The sequence below is a fragment of the Homo sapiens genome, chromosome 6 (genome assembly GCF_000001405.40).
Source record: "Homo sapiens chromosome 6, GRCh38.p14 Primary Assembly".
NCBI lineage: Eukaryota > Metazoa > Chordata > Mammalia > Primates > Hominidae > Homo > Homo sapiens.
In genome coordinates, this window is record NC_000006.12 from 116,371,844 (window position 1) to 116,395,940 (window position 24,097).

The 24,097-nt window shown below is 38.0% G+C and overlaps 1 protein-coding gene across 13 annotated transcripts in view, besides 5 other annotated features; it reads left to right on the forward strand.

Moving 5' to 3' along the window:
* Positions 1–24,097, forward strand: part of DSE (dermatan sulfate epimerase) — a 190,691-nt gene that overhangs the window by 117,673 nt on the left and 48,921 nt on the right. The gene's annotated exons all lie outside the window — the stretch shown is intronic.
* Positions 14,583–14,877: a silencer, noted in NCBI's record as "tiled region #1381; HepG2 Repressive non-DNase unmatched - State 23:Low". NCBI's record gives its function as "represses a minimal TATA promoter and a strong SV40 promoter by Sharpr-MPRA in HepG2 cells {active_cell/tissue: HepG2}" and the evidence as "EXISTENCE:reporter gene assay evidence [ECO:0000049][PMID:27701403]".
* Positions 14,769–14,838: a silencer, noted in NCBI's record as "silent region_17493". NCBI's record gives its function as "represses an Ori minimal core promoter by ATAC-STARR-seq in GM12878 lymphoblastoid cells {active_cell/tissue: GM12878}" and the evidence as "EXISTENCE:reporter gene assay evidence [ECO:0000049][PMID:35858748]".
* Positions 17,361–17,410: an enhancer, noted in NCBI's record as "active region_24988". NCBI's record gives its function as "activates an Ori minimal core promoter by ATAC-STARR-seq in GM12878 lymphoblastoid cells {active_cell/tissue: GM12878}" and the evidence as "EXISTENCE:reporter gene assay evidence [ECO:0000049][PMID:35858748]".
* Positions 17,441–17,540: an enhancer, noted in NCBI's record as "active region_24989". NCBI's record gives its function as "activates an Ori minimal core promoter by ATAC-STARR-seq in GM12878 lymphoblastoid cells {active_cell/tissue: GM12878}" and the evidence as "EXISTENCE:reporter gene assay evidence [ECO:0000049][PMID:35858748]".
* Positions 18,827–18,986: an enhancer, noted in NCBI's record as "active region_24990". NCBI's record gives its function as "activates an Ori minimal core promoter by ATAC-STARR-seq in GM12878 lymphoblastoid cells {active_cell/tissue: GM12878}" and the evidence as "EXISTENCE:reporter gene assay evidence [ECO:0000049][PMID:35858748]".

The following is a 24,097-nucleotide window of genomic DNA, read 5'->3' on the forward strand; positions in this document are numbered from 1 at the left end:
TTGTGACCTGAGAACTTTTTCGTTTATATCGCTCCTTTAAAGCAGCAGCCTCCTCTTAAGCCGGCTGGCATTCAGATGGAAACCGAAGCCTTTGGTTAAAATCAGGAGGTGAACCTCACTTACCTGAAATTCTTTAGGTCAGGCAATGACGCTTTTAGTTCTAGGAATCTTCGTGTAATAAAGTTCTTTTTAAAAATTTTTTCGTTGGTCATGGTTTAGAAAGTCATGGTTTAGCACTGTTAATTAAATGCATGAAAGATCTCACTTATACATATTTTTAGTATTTTTCACATTATAGAATTTAAACTTTAAGTAATTCCCTCAAGTTTTTAAAAAATTTCTCGGCCGGACGCAGTGGCTCACGCCTGTAATCCCAGTACTTTGGGAGGCCGAGGCAGGCGGATCACGAGGTCAGGAGATCGAGACCATCCTGGCTAACACGGTGAAACCCCGTCTCTACTAAAAATACAAAAAATTAGCCGGGCGTGGTGGCGGGCGCCTGTAGTCCCAGCTACTCGGGAGGCTGAGGCAGGAGAATGGCGTGAACCCAGGAGGCGGAGCTTGCAGTGAGCCGAGATTGCGCCACTGCTCTCCAGCCTGGGCGACAGGCTCAAAACAAAACAAAACAAAATTCTCAATGATAATCTCTATGTGAAATAGTGATAAACAATATTGTATAGAGTATTCTAACTATATTACTAAATGGGATCACAAAAAACCTAATGTGCATGGAAGAAAATAAAATATAGGATTATCTGAGTATTTGTTTCATGCAAATACTTAGATTTCTGTATTGTGACCTCTTCCTTTGACGGTCACGATACAGATATAAGTTCTTTTCTGAAGTATGTAGGTAAGGTCTGTTCTAGTAAAAATGGAGAAGATAACAGATTGAATTTGATGTCTCCATCACCTAGTGACCCGTCTGTGTGGGTTCAGCAAAAAGTGCAAGATAGTGCTGGTTACCTAGGTTACATACACAGGTATATGAGATCAGCCTTAGCTCTCTTGGAGCTGCTAATGTAGAACCTGAGAAACATCAATAAGCAGCACTTCCTAAGTTTGAGCTTGGGAAGAGTTATTTTTCATTGACTAGTATATGACGTCAGTATCCGTTTTTATGAAGTTTTAGTTAAATAAAAACACTGGCCTAAAAAGTACATTCTGACAGTTTAAAAAATACTGAAAGTACAGTCACCAAGTGAAGGGGAATTAAAAAAAAAAAAAAGGGCTGGGTGCGGTGGCTCACGCCTGTAATCCCAGCACTTTGGTAGGCCGAGGCAGGTGGATCACCAGGTCAAGAGTTCGAGACCAGCCTGGCCAATATGGTGAAACCCGGTCTCTACTAAAAATACAAAACAAAAAATAAATTAGCTGGGCGTGGTGTCGCGCGCCTGTAGTCCCAGCTACTTGGGAGGCTGCGGCAGAAGAATCTTTTGAACCCAGGAAGCGGAGGTTGCAGTGAGCCGAGATTGTGCCACTGCACTCCAGCCTGAGCGACAGAAGAAGACTCCATCTGAAAAGAAACTTTGACCAAGAGATACTTTGATAACAGTACAGGCAGTTGCCATGATGGGGTTATTAGGTTCCATTCTCAATACTGCTAGATTGAGGCTGTCCTTCCTGATCTTGGGGACCTGTTGAAAAAGCACTGGGTGAGACATCAACTAGGTTTGCTATGTGAGATCAGGACCATCTTAGTGACTAATGTTTGTGTGTACATCTGCTTTAGTATTTACGAAATTCGTTCAGAAACAAGCTAATACAGTTCCTTTCAATGAGATTTTATGGGCTGTCCGGTTCAATATCTCGCAGTGCTGCCCTGAGAGGACCTGGTGGTCATCCATGAGATGAAGCTCTTAACTTCGCAGATGCTTCCCAGTGCCTCGTTATAGTCTCTTTTTAATTTCTGAAAAGGTGCTTTAAGATCACTGATGAAAGTGCATTTTGCGATTAAACAATAAAATATTTATACATTTCTTAATGTTATTTGTGATACAATATTTTGGTATTTATTTATACTTGCCTTGGATCACACTGTGTTGCATGAAAGAAATTGCATGATTTTCACTCAATAGTATTATTTCAATAAATAATTGTAGAGAAAAAAAGAAAAAATATTTAAATTTGAGTTTTAGTATATTGGTAATCTTTGTTTTCAAAAAGGAACTCCCAAAAGACTAGCATTTTGTGGTTGTAGCATATATTAAATATTACATAACCTGAAACTGTCAAAGGATTTTTACCTTTACCGATTGTGTTGCTTACTTCTGCCATGTGTAGGCAAGCTCCAACCTGTTGAGGGTGTGGATTCCAGATCCTCTTTCAGAAGAAACTCCCAAAAGACTAGCATTTTGTGGTTGTAGCATATATTAAATATTACATAACCATTAGCATACTTGAATCATAAATATAGTAAATATTATCCTTTTTCACCACCCCACTGCCCCTTCCCCAAATAAAAAAAGAGAAATACTGTTACTGACTTAGGATGTGTTTGTGGCAGGCCTTTGAGGAGAGCCAGAATCTGTGGTAGAGGGAACTTCATTATAGTGGATACTATTATTCTGTTTGCTGAGGGGGCTGGATCTTTACTATTTTGAAGGAGTGGGTAGGGCACCTGAAGAGATTTAGTGACATAACCCTACTAAAAGAATGTGCCTGAGAAGAGGATAGGACAGTTCTTAAATGCTTACTCTATTTCCTATTGTTTATAACAGAATACTTGAATCTGGGTAGCTTAAGAAGAAAAGGAATTTATTTTTTACAGTTATGGAGCCCAAGTCCGAGGTTGAGGGGCTGCATCTGGGGAGGGCTTTCTTGCCGGTGGGGACTCTACAGAGCTCCGAGGTGATCCAGGACCTCACATGGTGAGGGAGTTGTTCATGCTAGCTCAGGTTTCTCTTCCTGTGAAACTATCAGTCTCATTCCCGTGATTACCCATGAATCCATTAACCTATTAATCCATGAATGGATTAATCATTCATGAGGGTAGAGGCTCATGACCCAATCGCCTCTAGGTCCTACCTTTCAATACTGCCACATCCACATTGGAGGTAAAGTTTCAACATGAGTTTTAGAGGTGGCAGTTATTCAAACCATAGCAAATATGTTAAGGTTTTCTCATGGGATTATGTTATCTTCCCCTATAGTGATTGCTAGAATAAAACTCTCTGGGAGCACCAAATTACCAGCAAATGTTTGGGTGACACAGCAAAATTCTTTATACCTCAAGTTGGTGCCCAACATGGCAATGAGGCAAGTTATATATAAGCCCAGAGTACTGAAAAGGAAAATTATTTTCCTATGAAATTCATATGGTGAATTAGAATGGGAAGTAGAGATTAAAATCCCAAACTCTTGAGGTGTACTGATCGATGTACCATTTGATGATAACAATAATGAAGAATGTATGTTTCACAAAGTCTTCTCAACTCTAATGCCCCATTCTAATAGGAAATATGCTTTTAAAAATTAAACTGTTCATTAATTGGATAGTATGTTTAATTGAAATAATTTTTCTTTAAAGAAAAATCTTTCTTCCTAGCTACTTGGGAGGCTGAGATGGGAGGATCACTTGAGCCCAGGAGTTCGAGGCTGCAGTGAGCTATGGTCACACCACTGCACTCCAGCCTGGGCGACAGAGCAAGATCCTGCCTCAAAGTCTTTTTTATGTGTATGGTAAATAAATGTATCCCAAATTTCTATCATCTCACTTTAGTGTTTCACAACTTCTAGTTATGTATAGAAGAGTGGCTTGATTAGTTGATGCTGAAGTCTTGCAGAAAAGAATCAAACTAGAAAGAGAAATACAAGGTATTGTGCATAGGATAGCAGGACCATTACTATTAGTAAACTCTCACTTATAAATTCATATGCATTTAGAGAATTGCCGTAAAGGAAAATCCCTGAACATACATCTACATAAATACTTGCATTTTGAAATTGCCCAGTACTTTTAACTTTTTTTTCAAAGAATTCAAATATTTTAATATTTTAGTGTAGTAGAAATGGACAGTGATATAGAGCTAGTGTCTTACCCTCATTTTAGGGGTATGGAAATGGAAATACTAAAGGTAAAAGACTTGTCTTTCATTTTCAAGTCATTAGTGGTATACCTTAAATAGAAGATTAACTTAAATTACACATTTAATCCTACTTTTATCCCTTGTGACTCCAAATTCATATTATTAAAGACTCTAACATTTTATTTTCCTGTTGTCTACTTTATTATCCCTTTTACTACTCACTACTCCTCATGAACCATCAGCTCCCTAAAATGCTTATGTGCTTCCTAGACTAATGTAACTGGCTATTTACAGACCCCCTTTCCGCAGCCCCGTCCTCTTCCACTTCTCTCTATCTCTTCTCATGCCTTCTGAGGATTCCATTGTGGGGCCACTTCTAATTCCTGCAAAGCCCTGGGCCGATTGCTCAGTTCTCATTAGCTGGCTTCAGGATTTTTACCTTTACTGATTGTGTTCCTTACTTCTGCCATGTGTAGGCAAGTTCCAGCCTGTTGAGGGTGTGGATTCCAGATCCTCTTTCAGATGCCCAGAAGAGTATAAACCTGCTGGAGGAAAAGTGTTCAGAGAGCCTGTTAGAGATCACAAAGAAGAAGGGAATGATTTTAATTTGGAAAGAGAAGAAAAGATTATTGAGGCGATCTGTTTATTTCTTGAATGGAGTAGTTTGTTCAGTCTTTAATTCAGAATAACATATGAAATTTAATGTGTACTGATTACCACTGGATTTCCTTCTGTTTGCTTCAGCTCCCTTGGAATATTTTGTAAACATGATTTTGGTAGTGTTATCATTAAATGTTAGTAAATAAGTCCTGAAAGAACAGAATTTGCCCTTCAGTAATATGTAGAAGCTATGAACAATACTGACAAATAAGCATAATTTGCTTTGGCATTTTATATTTGGGAATAGTTATACCTATTAGGTAAGTGTAGTCTTGTTAGAGAAAATATAACAAAAGACATATAGGCAGTTGGCTTTCAATTACATATATGTGACATATCCATTGTAGATTATTTATGTTCATCTGCTTTGTCCAAGACAGAGTCAGAAAGAGTTTGCAACTGAATGTATGTGTCTGCATGCCAACCCCCACCTTTTGAGTTTTATTTCTAGACTTAATAGTTTCTCTCCTCTCAGTGCGAACGATAGCAGAATAATCATATAGAAATCCCCAGTGTGTGTATAAATTAGCATTCATGCTCTTTTAGTAGAAATTGAATAGGTATACAGTCAGTTTAAGAAGCTGTCCTTTAAATCTTTCCATTTGAAATATTCGTAGAGTTTTAAAGTTGTGTTTGTTGCTTAAGTCAGGGCTTTGCATTTTTTATCATGCATAACAATAACAAACTTAGCTACTAAATAATAGGCATTTAATGCGTACAAACATTATACCGCAACAAAGTTGAATCAGTACTTCCTAACTTTTAAAAAGGAATTTGTAAAGGAAATAGGCTCACCAAGCTTGTGGGTCTGTAATGTTTTTATTGATGAAGTACGAAGGCAATATATCAGCCTTATTGTTGCTGTCAAATGGCTGTTGCAAGAAAAATGATGTTTGTTAGCAGTTCCTGAAGTAGGTAGCAACATTAGTGTTGTGTAAGTTTTTTTTTGTAAAATGCAGTAATCTGCAGATGATGTCGTGAATCCATATACATTGCTCATTTAAAGAAATAACTGACTAGAAATGGACACTTGTTTATAGAGTAGTCCTTTAGACTGGGGTACTGAAAGGGATTTCTAGAATTTTTCAGTTTTAGAAATGAGAAATGACAGTTTCTGTCACTGAGAAAATTGCCTCAGTGACAAATACTCAGGAATTTCATGATAAAAATCAGTAGGTCATTTAAAAATACTTTACACCAAGGTGCACTCAATATCCAACACGGTGTAGAGCAGTAATGAAGACCAAGGTACCCGCTGTAATACAACCTTGTTTACCTTCTAGACAGTTCTGACTAAACTTTTATTCTTGAAGCTGTGCTATTTTTGTCATTTTAATATATGTGAGGACAGACTATATCCAATGAATTTCTAGAATTTCACAAATTCTGGGGAAAAATCTTTTCCTGGGACCTTTGCAGTTTGATGATATCATTCCAGGTGGTATGAATGGGGGCAGGCTCACCAACCCCATGGGTAATCAGACTTGGGCCAACTGGATTTTGGAATCACCTGCAGTGTTTACATTTCTCCCAAGGAGGGTAGGGACCTGTCAGGAAGGAAAAAAGTAGCCTGAAAGGGAACGTTGAACAGCTGTTTTCCATCTTCCCTGAAGAAAAGAAGGGGGAAATTAACTTAAAGCAAGCATCAAGAAGGATTTATGGTAAATACAGGGAAGTTTTTCTGAATGCTTTTATCCTTTAGGATGGATTTCTGAAAAAGGCCTTTGAATTCTTTTCTGTTTAGAAAGGTTTAAATGGGGTTGCCTTGAAGGGATGTTAAATTTATCTTCTGGGGCTCTAATTTATGACTTCTGCTTATTTAAAGTTGAAAATCTTAGAAATTAGAAATGATTTAAATATGTGAATATAGAAGAAAATATTTTAATGTTTTACATAGAAGATGCCTTTACATTTTCTACTTGGTATTTTTATAAGAACAAAGTATTTATTGACTGGTTAAATATTGATCATATATAAGATCAATCTTTCATTGAGGTAAACATTGCAAAACTCCTCCATCCCCTGCTTAATCTGTTTTCTCCCAAACAGGTCATTTTTCCTCCATATTTCTCTTTTTTATTTTTAAAAATTTTGAAGAAACATTTAATTAATAAATATCTATATTCCAGGTATACAACCTAAGTATTTGATATTCATATGCATCATGTAGTGATTGTCACAATCAAATTAATTAACACATCCATCACCACCTTACTGTACCTTAAGTCCCCACCCACATTTCTTTTTTATTCTAGATAACCTTGTTTTTTTTAAGTCTTGTCTTTTACCATTCTCTACATCATTTTCTATGGTAGAACCAGACTGGTAGTGAGAGGGAAAGGATCTCAGTGGTTGCATGAATGTAGGGGGCATTCATCAGTCATGTGATTAAAATATGGGTGTTGCCCATGTAGGAAAGAACCTGGAAACTTCTGTCATACCATGCTTCTTATTGCAGTGTTTATGGTTAAAAACAATAATGGTGTTTTTATAAATAGAATGCTAACTTTATTTTATTTTGTTAAGAAGATGCAATCTCCAGCAGAATTGATCCCATGGTTTTAGGCCTGTGGTTCTGTTTTTTTCTCAATATCAAGATTAGGCTTATTGAAATTAAGATAGAAGTATCTTAAAAGCAAGATCATTTTGATGCAGCATAAGGTGTTGGAAAATGCACTCTGAGCTGATAATGGGTCAGTGGGCTTGAAGGATGCCAAGAAATGGAGCTCAGCAAAGTTAATGTCTTAGGCATTTCGAGTTCTGTTTCAGGTTAGTCTTATAGACTATAGTTTTAAAGCAATTTCAAAATACTTTTCAAAATTACCTTTCTCAAAAGAAACTGATTCTTGGGAACATTGAAAACCTCCAAAGTTATCTTAGGTAAGAATGTCTTTTGCTGGCCCCTTTAGTTTCCAGATTACTCCTAGTTCTCTTCCTCCTCTATCTTTACTTTAATTCTTCCGTAAGTTAGAGCTTTTGGTTTTAATGAGAACCCAAGAGAAATAGGGAGCAAAACAGGAATTGATCTGTTGCTGTTATGCAAGTTCAGTTTATTCCTTCTTAAACTATTTTGTGAAAATTTAAGATCCACCTTTTTTTCTAAGGAAACAAGTACTGTTCAGGGTGGATTCATCCCATTATCTATGTGCTTTGTTACAGTCCCAAGATATTCACCATTAAAATTTTTAGACTTCATGTGGCTTGCATAGAATTATTCTGTGTAAAATTTAAATTAAGAAATGTCATTTGAATGTCTGCTGTGGTAACTTTAAAAGTTGAATTTCATCTCAACTTGTTAAATTTCATCTTGCAAATTTCAGATTGTTGGACCACTTCCAATATCTCTTTCTTAAGAAAGGTTATGTATGGCAGTATTTAGACTACAAATTGCCATAAAATCATAAACCCTGCACATAAGGAAGTGGAGTTAGTGGTGTTAGGGTGGTTATATTACAGATCCTAGGGTGGTTATATTACAGATCCTTCTTTATGTGCTTACACCTTTTTTTCTTGTTGGTGAAGCCACTGATGTTTGGTTCAGTGATTGCAAGTTTTAGAAAAGATAAATCTGTGTTACTTGGGAATGAATGTTTTAATATATAACTTTTCCCAATGTACTTTTGAACTTGGAGAGTCAGATGAAAGGATATTTTACTTTAGTGATAGACATACTGAAAGGATTTAGTCATTGAGTAAGTATTTGCCAGGTACTTCTGTGTTTGAGGGGATGTCTAGGTGGAGGGAAGAGGGGAAGGCATGCAAAATAAATATAACATAGTTTCCAGCCTTGAGGAGCTATAAAATCTGGTTGGAGAAGAATAACTGAATATGAAACTTTGTGAGAACAATTAGGTGCCGAATGGACATAAATGCAGTAGGATTGCAGGAAGGAAGAGGTTCCAAGGGCAGAAGAGGGGGAATGAATTGGGTCTCAGAGGATTTTATACAAAAAAGAGGAAAGGAGAAAGCACTACAAGCAGATCAGCCAGCAGAGCAAAGGCACAAGAAGAGGAGCAAGCAGATATGGAGCAGCTGCCAGGTCAAGGAGAACTTCAGGGAAAAGTCATGGGAATTCACTTATCTCCATTGATGACATTCTCTTTTTCTCCTTCCTTTCTTTGTATATTCTTTATTATTTTCCACAAGGGTGTTTGACACTACAAGAAAGACAAAGAAGTCTCAGACCCTGCCTCCCAGCAGTTTATACCTGAGTTGGTGATCAAATCCCTTTTGGATACAGAGAGGACTGAAATAATAAATGTGAGACAGGAAGATAACATGTATATTCACATAACTCAGTATGCACATAGTTAGTACTAAGTGTATAGCAGAGACAGTGAAATCTGTACACATTCTTACCGACCCTTTTTTAATGCCCAATTCAGATACTACCTCCTCAGTGCATCCTTCCTTCTTCACCTTAGCCAGAAGTGTCAGCTCTTCTGTAAATTTCAGTTGTACTTTGTCATTCTTATGCAAACTTCATTTTATTTTAGTGTTTGTATAAATATTTATTCTATCATTTTATAAGATGATATAAGCACCTTCATGGCTGGCACCGTCCCTGAATTCTCAAAGAATATTGAGCAATGCATACATGGGTTCCCAGGGGAGATTGCTTATGGATGGAGTTGCCAAGAAGGCTTCATTAAAGAGTGTTGTGTTCTTTGAATGAGGAAAGTACCACGTTGGATGTGGAGCAGATAAGAGAGAGTAACATAGGGAATAAAGGAATGAAATGTGAGTCATGCTCAAGCAATGATGGGCAGGTAAGTCTGAAGGGGGAGTTTATGTAGAGAGGAAACGAGGGATGAGATTGAGAAGATAGGCCAGAGCTAGATTATGAAAGCTCTTGGACAAGACTGTTGCTCATTTTGCTGAGGGAAATACAGGCTCTTGAGTAGGGAAATGATATGAAAATGGTGACTTTATGATTTGTAAAGATAGTTATTTCCTGGGTAATTTGATCAGACTGCCTGCATTTATGTCTTGGCTTCTTCACATTCTATGGGACCTTGGGTAGCTTAATTGTTCTGTGCCTCAGGTTCTATCACCTCAAAAGGTGAAGATACAAATTATACAAGTAACTGCATTATGGGGCTGTGGTAAGGATTAAATAAGTCAATCTACGTGAAATATGTAGCGTAGTTCTTGGCACTTGGCAAGCACAATAAAGGCACTTTATTGTTCATTGGTGTAGATACTGTAAGAATTACAATGTTTACTTTAGAAATGAGAAAATTCTAGAGCTAGGACTCTATTAGTTATCTGCTGTAACAAAGTACTGCAGACAAGGTGGCTTAAACAATAGTTTATTGTCTTACAGTGGTGGAGGCTAGAAGTCTAAAATCTAAAAATCTGTCAGCAGACTGTTTCCTTTTGAGGCTATGAAGGAGAACCTGTACCAAGCCTTTTACCAAGTTTCTGGTGGCTTCTACCAATCTTTGGCATGCTCATCTTGTAGATGCTTCACTCCAATCTCTATTTTCATCTTCACATGGCATTCTGTGTGTGTGTGTGTGTGTGTGTGTGTGTGTGTGTCTCCAAATTTCCACTCTTTATAAAGACACTGGTCATATTGGAGTAGGGGTCTGCCCTATTCCAATATGACCTCATCTTAACTAATTAAATCTGCATGACCCTCTTTCCAAATAAGGTCCCATTTAGAGGTTTGGGGGTTAGGACTTCAACATATGAATTTTTGTGGAACAAAATTTAACCTTTAACAGACTGTAAGTCAGATATTTCGAGCCTACCATAACATGGCCATGATATGCCAAAAGGATTGTAGAAAAGAGGAGGAATCTGTAGGTTTATATGATAATCAGTTAATGAACTTGTTGTCTCTTCTGTCTCCTTTCTGCCTGGGCCTACACCATTCCCCTACGTAGCCACATTAATGGACATTGCCATAAAGGGCTTTGGGATTTTGCTGTGCCCCCTGTTTCCTGAAAAGATATTTTGTTTTCTTCCTTCTTTCCAGCATGACATTCCCTGTGACTTATTTCTGTCTAGGATTAGAGATAAGGATATTAAGATAAATGAGACATTATGCTTATACCACATAGTTTCTGTCTTCTCTAAATTTGGGTGATATGTCACTGTCCAAATGTATAGGTGACAAAGGAAGAAATGAATGCTTGTGGAAAGGGGCAAAAACTCTTGAAGTGTCAATGGTAAGGATTTTACTGAGGAGTCAGTTGGAGATGATAAGTGAGTAGGTATGCAGCTGTGTGGCAAGAGAGAAATTTTTCCCCGCCCTACCCCCAGGCTTATGGTGGGAATTGAGGTAAGTGAACAAATAGGATCAAGTTTCCTTAAGTCACTGAGAAAGTTAGAAATATCCCCAGAGTGATAGAAATTACCAGTGAAGGTTTAAAAGAGTATATGGACAAATGGTGATTTCAAATGATAAAAGTGCCAGGAGAGTCACACCTAGAGTCATTTAGAGAACTAGGCTGTCTCAGGAATTGAAGAGGCTGCCTCCATGTTGCTTGTGAATTGGTAGGATGTGAGATTTGGCCTGCATGGGAGAGCACAACTGGAGACAAGTTGTTATTGAAAGACTCAGTTGTTTCATAAAATCTGTAATTTGGAAGGATCTTAGGTGTTCCCCAACCCCACCTTATTTAAATTCTGAATCACCTGACAGGTGATCATCTAGTTTCTGCATTCATTTAGGGCTAGACATAAGAAGAGAGTTTGAAAAATAAGTTTACTACAAAAGGGAGTTTTTTTTCCAGCATAGACAAACAGGAATTCCATTAGGTTTGATCAAAAGAGAAGTAGCTAGGGGGACTCAGGCTGTGAATAGACATGGGGTAAAAATGGGTAGGGTGGGTATGAAAGTTTGGGTGGAGAAGTATACAAGCGAGAGAGAAGTATATGCCTAGATTAGGAGATGCCAAGAATGGGGCTAACACTATGAGAGCAGTTTGCTAAGACAGAATGAAATAAGGACAACTTACTCACCTAGATAAGGATATAGACTCCGCATTAAACATTCATGAACTTGTGCATGCACACAGACATGGGCATTAAATATCTGGCCATATTTCAGGCCCTCGGAGTTTTTAATTTTTTTAAATAATCATACCTATTAAGCACCTTTCATATGCCAGTCATTGCTCTGGGCACCTTTCTCATATTATCATTCATCTTCCTTACAGTCCTGGGAGATAGATATTTCTATCCCCAATTTACAGATGTGGAACTGAGTTGGAATATTTCTGCAGCAGCATGTTATTTGTCCTGTGTATCCATGGCCAGCAATTCAGAAATTATTCTCTTGTTCTACATAATATATGTAGTCTCCAGCAGTCTACTAGAGCTTTACTTTTCCTCAAAAATTATTTCCTGACTGGTAACATTTCATAGACTTAAATATACACCATATTAAGTTTTTTTTAGCAGGAAATACTAGCAATTGTGTAGATGTAGAAGAAATAATAATTACAGAGTATTCTTTTGAATTCTCTAGATAAAAGTTAATAGTACAGAAAGATTGTTTAAATTTACAAATAGTAACACTAATCAAGTCCTTATACCAAACCATTAAATAATAATTACAATCCTTGGGCATGTGATTAGACATGGGGACATGAGGGAATCACTTTAAATTTCAAAACAGAGCAACCTAAATAAAAGTCAGCACAGAAACAGTCATTCAGCAGAAAGGAAGGCTTGGCTGGTCTGGACATGGATAGACTAGGGAGAGTGTGAGGTGCCTAATCCCATGCAAGATGGGCCGAAAATTTTGAGATGGCATTTAGAAAAAGACCCATAGAGGACTCATGAAATCTATCCTTGGAATGTCAGGAAATAATGAGAGACATTCAGGCAGTGGTCTGCGATTAGAGGCATGTTAGTTAGGCATGCTAATAATGGGATGGCGAAAGTTGGGGGTAAAGCAAGTCACCTAGACCTAGCAGCCTGAGGTGGACTTAGTGGGAGCTTTGTGCCTTGGGGGAGGCTGGGAAGGCACTGGCCGTGATCACGGCTCTCAGTAAACTCTGTGATAATCACTCAGAGTAACCTTTAGAGTTCAAACATTGTAGTACATTTTATCTCCATATGATTTGTCTTCCTACACAAATTTTTATTGTTTCTTTTAATGTAATTATATTTATGTAGCTGTATAACTATATGTTTAGTTATCTCTGAGGATTTAAAAGTTTACCTCTTGACGCAGTTAAATTTATCCAACTAATATATATTTTTTAAGTGTTTACTAAGTGCTAGGTACACTTTTATGTGCTGGAGATATAGCAGAAAGCAAAGTGCCCTCCTGAAGCTTACATTCTAGATGGGAGAGCCAAGCACACAAAATAAATAAGTAAATTATATAGTAGATTAGAAGGTCATAAGTGCCATGAAGAGAAATAAAACCCAGGAGGGAATTAGAGAATGGTAATGGTTGGACTTGGTAATGATGTCATTTAAATAAGGTAGTCATTGCAGACCTCACTGAGAGAGTGACATTTGAGCAAAAATTTAAAGGGGATGAGGGAGCAAGCCACATGGATATCCTAGGGTAGGCATTTGGGGCAGAGGGAACAAATGTGCAGGCGCTGAGGAGGGAGCTCACCTCATGTATACAGGAATAATAGAGGCCAACATGGCTGGAGCAGAGAGAGACTGGACAGTCGGACATGAAGGCAGAGAGGCAGTATGGCCAGGCTGCTTAGCCCCTTGAGAGCAATGCTTAGGAGTTTGATGCTTATCTGAATGAGGTGGGAAGCCATTAGAGTGTTTTAAATAGAGTGGTGACATACTCTGAATTAGGATTGAACAGGATCACTCTGGCTTCTATGTGGAGAATGATCTTAGGGAGGTAAGAGTGAAGGCAGGTAGACAAATTTGGAGGCTGTCGCAGGCAAGACATGGTATGGCTGTATGGTGGTGGTAAAAGTGGCTGGATTCTGGACGGATTTGGAGTAGAGCCAACAGAATATGCTGATAGTTTGGATATGGAGAGTGAAATAGGGAAGGGAGAAAAGGAGGGGGTGGGGTTGAGTCCAATTACTGGCAGGATTAGTTGCCAGTAACTGAGTTGGGGAAGTCTAAGAAGGCAGTGCCTACGTCTTTGGGTTAACTACATCTATGTATCATTGTTTTACAAACCAAGTCTGTGGTATTCTGAGTTGATTATGATTCACAGGAGGACATTTGAAAAGTATGCTGGGATTTTAATGCCAAAGAACTCAAAGGTTTTCATCTGTGTGATAAAAGTGAGAATCAAAATAAGTACATATAAAAATGTTTGGAAATGTTAAAGACAGCAAAAAAAAAAAAAAAGTAAATTTTATCACTGATGAGTACTTGAAGTCTGGAAAAATGAGGAATGCTTGTATATAAGTAAAGAATGTAAAAGAACTTCATGTGTAGTAATAAAAGCACCACTCCATATATACTCATCCAATATATACAATTTTTATTTCAATCAGATGTACTGCAGTTACAGGTTTAATGCCCATAAATTACTTTCCAATGAACTTCCTTTTAGCCCTTTGCTTACCATCTGTATGTTTCATTTTTGGAATATTCCCAAAGCCTTTTAAAAAATGTGTCAGTCCAGTGTATTCTGCTTTGTCCTTTGCTTCAACAGCAACATTCTTAGTCATTTTTCTGGGTGTAAGTCAGAGAAAAATAGCAAAAGTTGACTAAAGAGAAAGATGTGGTGAAAGTATCACATTTTCTTTTATAATGGGACAAAGTATTATGGCAAGCTACTCATAATTCTAACAGGAACTTAGATGATTTAACTAAAAAGAAGATAAAGGGCATATGGATGGGGAAGCAGTCCCCAAGACCACCATCAGCCTTGGCAATTCACTAGAAGGACTTACAACATTTGTTATCATCTGGTTATGCTTTATTTAACACAGCCAAAGGATACAGATTAAACTTAGCAAAGGGCAAAGGCACATGGGGCAAAGCCCAGGAGAAAACAGGCATAAGCTTCTAGGTGTCCACTCCTACTGAAGTTGTACTCAAAACAACAATGTGTGCCAATACATGCAAAGCGTTGCTAGCCAGGGAAGCTCACCTGAGCCTTGGTGTCCTGGGCTTTTATTGTAGTTAGATGTGACTGACTTCAGCTACTCAGACTCCAGCCTCTCCAGAGCAAAGATAGGAGTTTATCATGAGTCATCTAGTTAACTAAAGTGTTACTGCCATGTAACCCAAGGCCTCGAGTGTATAAAAACCTCTTTATCAGGCAGAATATTCCAAGGGCTCGTCTCTCATGAGCTGGTAAAGGGCCAGTCCTGAAGACTTCTCTTGGGAATGTGTATGGTTTGAGCAATTCAGGTCTGCTAATATAACCCTTTCCCATTTAACATAGTAGATCCTTGAACATTGTATTAGTGCTTCTTAGAGGCATTATTACTATTAGAGAGTAAACTTATAGTATCTTATCCTAGAAGATATGATATAAGGACATACCAAAAATACACATAATGTCAAGAACGGTTTAGCTAAATTCATAAATGAGTGAACCAGATTAGATTGCATAAGTGAGGTTAGTAGTACTTTTTTTGTGGGGCGCTTCCCCTGAAAATCTGTAATCAGTGTCATGACTCACCCATAGGAGTTTGCAGACAAAGGGCTAGAGGAACAGAGAAACTAACCCACAAGTATATGTGATATTTATTGGGTTCAGGAAAAAGGTCAAAAGGAGGAAAGTTACCCTGGAGGTTGATGTTGAATTCTGGAATAGTCTCAGGAATCTGTTGAAAAACTGCAGAGTAATGAAACAGTACTTAGGAAAAAAAAGCATGACTTTGGTGAGAAAATTGGAATGAAAGAAAAAGGATAGGGAAGAAATGAAGATGATTTCCAAATAATTGGTTTGAGAAAATGTAGTGAAGAAGTTAAGAAAGTTCTGATTGGAAGAATTTAGTTTTAGGTGTATAAATGAGCACCTTAGACGGCAGGTTATGAGGAAGGAGGTGGGAGTGAGCAAATGACCACGTGCAGCCATGCAGCCATATTCTTGTGGGAAGTCCCAGGATTGAGACACTGCAGGCAGCTTGCAGGGAGAAAGGAAGTGAGGCATAATGGCTAAAATCTTGACTGTGACTCAGACACACCTGAAGTCAAAAATAAACCTGACCACTCACTGAATAATGCTGGGTAGGTTATTTCACCATTCTAAATCTCACTTTCCTCATCTATTTCCAACAAAATTACCCATAAAATAATTTTGGGGATTAAATATGATAATGAAATACACGTTCTTTGCACAGTAAAAGCAGTAAAAATTTTCTGGGAAAAAAGCATAAGAAGGATTTTCCACAGAGGTATTAAGAGAAGCAGGAGAATACGGTATCCCAGAAACTAATTTCCCAAAGTGTCAGGGAAGAGGAAGAGTGTGGTGTATTATCCTAGGTGGGGAGATTCTGGAGAGTGAGTACTAGGAAAGGGATACTGGGTTTTTCTAATGGGAATTTGAAAAAGGGCTTGGCCTGAGCAGCTTTAATTAGTATATTAGGGTTCTCCAGAGAAACAGAACCAGTAGATCCATGTCTACACCTACATCTGTTTATCTATCTATATCTAGAATTGGCTAGATTATGGGAATTGGCCATTATGGGAATGGGCTTTTGTAATTTGGAGGCTGAGAGGTCCCACAATCTGCCATTTGCACTCTGGAGACCCAGGAAAACAGGTGGAATAGGTCCAGCCTGAATATAAAGGCCTGAGAACTAGGACCACTGTTGGTGTAAATCCCAGGCAAAGGACAGGAGAAGACCAATGTTCCAGCCCAAGCAGTTAGGCCGAGAGAAAATCTTCCCTCTCTTTTTGTTCTGTTTGGGCCCACCCACATTGGGAGGACAGTCTGCTTTACTCAGTTTAGTCTCTTCTGGAAACACCCTCATAGACACATCCAGAAATGATGTTTGACCAAATACTTGTGTACCCTGTGATTCTGTCAAGTTGACACAAAACTATCACAACTGGTAAGAAAAGAAGTCACATATGTAAACATCAAAGGGGGAGAATTGGTGATACAGAATTAAAGATATTTAATTTACAGATTCAAGGAGTTACATTGCCAGTTGAAAGATAATATACATTGGCATTTGTGGAAAGTGGAAAATGTATTTTGATTAAACATCAAAATTTTAAAAAATTATATTTAAGTTTATAAGTAATTTTTTTCATCTGTTGCATTTCATCAGGACTTATATTTCTGCATTTAGGATTTTTTGTGACTGTGTAAGCATGTTTTTATTAGTATGGTGAATCAGTTAGCTTTATCTGTATATAGACTTTGGTTGATGAAGAAGTAGATTGGTAATTGCTTTTTTCCTCAGATCTGTTTGGTTACTTGGAATATTTAGCTGAAAGTTATAAATGTGCAGTTGAGCAGGAAGAAGAAGAAAACTTTTGGCATCAAATATTCTATATTTCTCAAAATATTTGATATTTTTAGTCTCCTGAAGAGACTGCAAGGTTGAGAATAAACAATGCATTGTACATATTTTAAAAATAGCATTCTCTGAGTGATAGTTTTGTGAGCGTTTCCTCCTGGGGTCATGGTGCACTTCCCCTCAGTTGGACTGACCTCGATGTTCTCATTGAGAAGATGATGATGGCTGCTAGTATTTATTGAGCACTTTCTAAATCCTAGGCACCATTTTAATGCTTTAAGTATATCAGCTAATTTAAGCTTCACAGAAACCCTATGAGGGAGGTACTATTATTTGATCCATTTTACAGAGGAGGAAACAGGAACGTAGGTAAGGATGTGATGATGCTAGGATTCAAACCCAGGAAGTGTGGCTCCAGCTTGCACCCTCAAACACTGATAGTGTTTTGAGGTGAATGATAACTAGCTTTTTTTTTTTTAAACACTTACTATGAAGTGAGGGCTTTAAAGGTGCTACCTCATTTAATCTCCCAACCAGTCAGTGAGACAAATAGCATTTTATTTTAAATGAAGAAATAGGTTTAGATAGCTTGTCCAAAGTCATACAGTGACAAACAACTGTGACCCCATGCCAGCCCTCTTAACCATCTCACCAGTCTGCCTTCAGGAATGTATTGCAGGAAGAAAAATTTTACTTTGGTTTTCAGGAGCATTTTGTGGTTTAGTTTAACTGTTATTTGAAACTGTATAGGGTTGAGATTTAGCTGTTGGCTTCATTATTTTTATTCATCCTCTTTTCTATACTTTATTTTTTAGTCAGTAATGCTACAAAAGTGTTTTCATGGTTAAAGCTATTGCTGAGAGAGCCATAGCTTGTCCTTCAGACCATTACAGAAAATCTTTTACTCTTTAGAGAAAGTTTTTAAAAATATATTGCAAATTTTCTTTAGTGGCCAAGTTCAATAGGTTAAATAAATTGTTTTGGACTAAGGGAGACTGACTATTCATCTTTATTTTCAGGCAGAGTAATACAGTACTACAGTTTTTTAAAAAAAAAAACCTCAGAGACATCATTTTCTTATATTTTTGTTTATAGTTATTTAGGGAAGGTATAGATTTTCTTGCCCACTTTGTATTTTCAATGCCTAACATAGTTCCAGGATTTTATTTTATTTTATTATTTTTTTTTTGAGACTGTCACCCAGACTGGAGTGCAGTGGGGTGATCTTGGCTCACTGCAACTTCTGCCACCCAGCTTCAAGCGATCCTCCCACCTCAGCCTCCCAAGTAGCTGGGACCCCAGGTACATGCCACAACACCCAAATAATTTTTGTATTTTTTTGTAGAGACAGGGTTTCACCATGTTGCCCAGGCTGGTCTCCAACTCCTGGGCTCAAGTGCTGCAACTGCCTCAGCCTCCCAACTGCTGGGATAACAGGCATGAGCCACTGTGCCTGGCCCATAATTCCTGGATTTAATACTTTTTCAATACATAGTAGAATTTATTGGTATTTATAAGAAATTCTTATCCCCAACTTGGGTAAGGAATTGATATTCCAGTACTGGATCACAATGCACTGCAAAGCATAACAGGCAAAAATTACTACTTTTTAAGTGATTCAGCATAAAAAATACACTTAATTATGCTCAATATTAACTTCTGAAAATAATATTAAAATAAAAAATTCTGAAAATAATTTAGAATAGTGTATTCTAAAACCATCATTAAGAAAATCAACTAAAATTGTAATAAAGAAATACTAATCAGAAGATCTTCAATTGTTAGACTGCTAGATAAGCTAGAATTTATTTATAGCTTATCTTAGAAAGTGTAACCGTTTCATTTTCTCTTTTGGCCTTCTGTAAGCAAAATTAGATGCCCCAGTACTCTCATAAGTGACGTTTGTACACTCGTATCTCTACCCTCGTTTCCCTTTGCCTCCATGAAAATAATACAGATTTTACTTTTTTTCTACATATGAAATGATAACCAATCTCTGAAAAGCTGGATACTAATGGTTTGTAGTTTAGTAGTAACATGCACCAGGCTAACCTCTACCACTAAATTATGAATTTAGTTAGATAGCCACTACATTTCTCACTCAGGTGGTCTCTGGTGGATGGGGGAGGAACCCTTCAGACTTGACATCAGAAAATGTTTGTGAGCACTTTAAACATATTTTACATGAATTATTCTAATATAAGGAAGTTATACAATTATCATCACTGGTATAACAAAGAAAGTGGGCTTCACATTATATAATGAAAAAGTGTGCTGTCTTCATGAAAACCTTTCAGGGGACAATGATAGAAATGTTCTTTGACTGTACAGAGCTGCAGTTAATAAAAGCCTGACCTAAAGTTTTTTTTTAATGTTGTATTTTAAGGTGGTGAACACCGTTATTATACATGGTGTGGTTTTGCTGTGTGGCCTCAGGTTTCTAATTACTCCTTCAGCAGCGTGTGCAAATTCTTGGAGGTTCCATATACTATCATTTCATATTGTGGATTTTTGTTTGGAAATTACCTTTTAGGGAGCAAAAGTATTCTTGATTTTGATTAAGAGCTCTCGGTTTTGGCCAGGCACTGTGGCTCACGCCTGTAATCCCAGCACTTAGGGAGGCTGAGGCGGGCGGATCACGAGGTCAGGAGATCGAGACCATCCTGGCTAACATGGTGAAACCCCGTCTCTACTAAAAATACAAAAAATTAGCTGGGCGTGGTGGCGGGTGCCTGTAGTCCCACTGCTTGGGAGGCTGAGGCAGGAGAATGGCATGAACCTAGGAGGTGGAGCTTGCAGTGAGCCAAGATTGCTCCACTGCACTCCAGCCTGGGCAACAGAGCGAGACTCCGTCTTAAAAAAAAAAAAAAAAAAAAGGAGCTCTCAGTTTTAAGATTTTCCTTTTTGTCTGAGTCCACGGGCTTTACACATCAGGGAGTATAATTTTAGGGAACGATTCTGCAGTACCAAAGCCATAGGTTTTCTTAGGATTTGACATATTTAAGAATAAGGTTAGATTTATTTCACTACAAAAATTTACCAAGGACATGTAAGGTTTTACTTTGGTATTGAGGAAACATTCTTCAAAAAATTATTTTAATTATGCATTTAATAAAACTGAAATAGAAAAGTGAGGAGACCTTTTAAAATATATGCATTTTATTACTATAGTTAAAATATGTAGCAACAGTGAAATAGTATGTGAGACCACAGCAAGGTGTTCCCCAAAGCACTTGGAAGGTTTCTCTGAGAGTTAAATCCTAAAATGGATCAGAGAAGGCAATGCAGCCCTGTCTAGTATATCCTAATGCTCTCAGGCAATCAGGGTTTTCCTAAAACTTCAATGGAGGCCTGAAGGAGGAGGGAACTTGGACTTAAATGGAAGCATGAGCAAGCGAGTCACAGTGCCTAACCTCGGCAACATCTGTCTGTTTTCCACGGGAGAGGGTGCAACGTCAGGAACATTCATTTGTCGGGTCTGCCTGTTCAATCTTGCCATGGATATGGGCACACTGGTTCTAGTGTGGGGGATTATTCCTAATCATGTAACTAACTATGGGGCCCATCCATTAAGTTGAGCAAACTGGAGCAGCTGCTCTTAGGCTGAGCTTGGCGGGTGTGGTGGCAGGAGCTATAGGGGATGTACATTTCACTCTTGTTTTCTAAATATGATTACAACTCAGTTTTTAAAATTTTGTCTTTAATGATACCCCCAAGGACATCTGTGACAGCTGCTGGCAATTTCAGCAGCCTCCTTCAAATGAAGTTATGGTAGCGATCTTAACTGGTCAAGTTGCCCCAAGTTCAGGGCCTTTCCCATTGCCTTTGTTCTGATTCTTTACTTGTTCACCAGACAGTTATCTAATAATTCACTTCCTGTGTTGGTTTCCTGTGAAGTCAGAAAATATTTCCCAATCTGCTTGACGGTAAACGAATATGCTGACATTCTGGTTTTTCATATGTGAGAGGTAGGGAAGCCTAACATTAAGTAGCATCTCATCTCCAGGATGATCAGCTGAGATACTGATGGCAGTGATGGAGCCAGGACCAGACCCTGTACTGAGGTTAACCTATCCGCCTTGCAGTGGCAGCAGGTGTCCCCTAAATTTTAATGTACTCCTTCCGTAATATAAATGTGTTACTAAGAAACAGCTTTCCAGCCAGGGACTGTGTTTCCCAGTCGCTGTTAGATCGGCAGGCCTTTCTCCTGACAGAATAAAGGAGAAAAAAGAAGTGGTCGCCTTTTGTATATGAAGAATTAAATTACTGACCCTAGGAAGAAAATTTAGTTAATAGCTCATTTAATCTATTATTCTTTTCTTTGGGGCAAAACCTCTAACAAACACTTGAAAAATTTAAAGGGTCGTATACTTTCCTTTCCAGTGAGTGATGAGCTTACTATGAGTGATGTGTTGAAGAGTGAGAAGCATTGTGTTCCAATTTCAACTAAGTCTCTAATAAGCAGTATGATCTGGCCCTAGTCAGTTAACATCTATAGTTCTTATATTTTTACCTGTAAAGTATGAAGATTTAGTTTCTTTCAAATAAAATATTTTATCAATAGGTTAGTATAATCTTGCAGGTCTGAAACATCTTCCTTTTTATAAATATTATTGAGCTCTTCATGTCATGTTCTATGCTAAGTGCATCACACATGTCTAATCACCCCATGAAGCATATTTCATTTTGTGGATGACAGAAGGGAGGTTTTGAGAGTGGACGTCAGTTGATCAAAGCTAGGAGGCAGCAGAGCTGAGATTTATGCTCTTGTCTGCCCAACTCCATGCCCCATACTGTTAATCATTATGTTGTGTTCCTCAAATTTGGCACATATTATAAGAGGGTTTTTTAATCCATCTTAGTTTGGGGCATGTTTTACTCTCTACAGGGTGATTTCTTTCTCCCATCCTTATACTTTCTCTGTTTTCTGAAGCCTGTGGAATTGAAAGAACTTTTGTACTACCATTTGTTTCATTCTATAAACAGTCCCAGATCATTTGAAACCCAAATCTTTTTTGAAACTTGATGTACTAGTTTAGTGTTCAGTTTTTTCTTCTCAGCATATTCTTCTGTGCTTTCTTTGTGTAAGGATGGCAAAAAAATGGAACTTTTAATGTTATTGAACATTCTCACAAATTAGTTTGGTTAAAGGAAAGAATCTTGGCTTAGGATTTAGGAGGTGCAAGTTCTAGTTCTTTCTCTGAAATTTATTGTGGAACAAATAATACTATTTTGCTATATTAAGTTATTGAAGAGTAAAAGATCAAATATGTGAAAAGCATTTAGGATCACAGAAACGAAGTTTTTCTGTGTGACTGCTGAATCATAATAGCTGCAGTGGATTGTTGGAACCAGAATTACAGCAAAATAATTTGGGGCCTATCTTTGCTTTATAAAGATCTGCTTAAGGTAATTGTAATTCATAATTCACGTGGCTTGGCCTACACGTAATGCTAAACTTGGACTGCTGAATATATACAGGCAGAGAGATGATCAAATTGCTATCTGAATTATAGCAGTAACAGCGTGATTTTTTTTTTTTTTAAAGACAAGGTCTCACTGTGTCACCCAGGCTAGAGTGCAGTGGCACAATTATAGCTCACTGCAGCGTCGAACTCCTGAGCTCAAGCAATCCTCCTGCCTCAGCCTCCCGAGTAGCTGGAACTACAGGCACATGCCACCACATCTGGCTAATTTTTTTATTATTTTATTTTATTTTTGTGGATATGGAGTCTCACTATGTTGACCAGGCTGGTCTCAAACTCCTGACCTCAACTGATCCTCCTACCTCATAGATTTAAGAATGTTTTACTATCCAAGTTGTGTGACATAAGACAAATGAATGGGAAGAAAAAGTGGATCATGAAAGTTGTAGAGTTAAAAGAGGAAAAAGAGAATTTCAGGGGACATGATGCTCAATGGAATCATTCAGAAACAGCCTGAGAATTGAGTTGTAGATAAAGTACTTATTAGTAGCATCAGCTGCTGAGAGTCGCTGGTAATTTTGCCATGTTGAAAATGCTATGCTCTTGAACTGGGCGAAGTGCAACTTAAAGATTTAAAGGGCCTGGGAGTGCTCTGCTGTTTTTGAAACACAATGAAGTAGGGGGTGAATAGCTTGAGAGATCATGCACAAACATCTTGAAGTTCAGACTTATTTCTCCAGGACAGAAGGCACATTTTGAGATAGTGTGTGTGTTTGTGTTTGTTTCATAGTGTTGAAAGTGGGAGGGTTGGCTGGGCGCGGTGGCGCACGCCTGTAATCCCAGCACTTTGGGAGGCCGAGGCGGGTGGATCACGAGGTCAAGAGAGCGAGACCATCCTGGCTAACAGGGTGAAACCCCATCTCTACTAAAAATACAAAATATTAGCTGGGCATGGTGGTGGGTGCCTGTAGTCCCAGCTACTGGGGAGGCTGAGGCAGGAGAATGGCGTGAACCCAGGAGGCAGAGCTTGCAGTGAGCCGAGATCGGGCCACTGCACTCCAGCCTGGGCGACAGAGCGAGACTCCGTCTAAAAAATAAAGAAAGTGGGAGGGTTGGGGCTGACCATTCCCATAAACTCATTAGCTTTTAATGCCCTTTGTTTCGGTAAGCATTTTTGGCATCTCTCAAACTATAGTTATTCAGGTACCACCTTCAACAATTTTTGCCATATCCATTTACTTTTTTTTTACTTTTAAATTTAAATATATTTTAAACAGGAGTTTTGCATATCTGTAGAAATCTCAGGTTTGATGTGGTATAGTTTTTCATAATGCACATTAAAATAAGTACGTAAAATTAACGTAAAGCCTGTCCATTTTTGGTCCACCTAAAATTATCTTGAAACACTCTTTTCATTTAATTTTGGCTCTTCTCTTTGTACAATGAGCACACACAATGTCTAGAGTGGAAGGTCAAAGAGAAAACTCAATGACTGGAAATAGAGATTTTTCAGTGAAATTTTCTAGACAGATTTAAAATGATGGGTGGGTATTACTTCCTCTTTTAGGTTATCAGCCTAAAACAAGTTTGGTTTAGATTTTAGTTA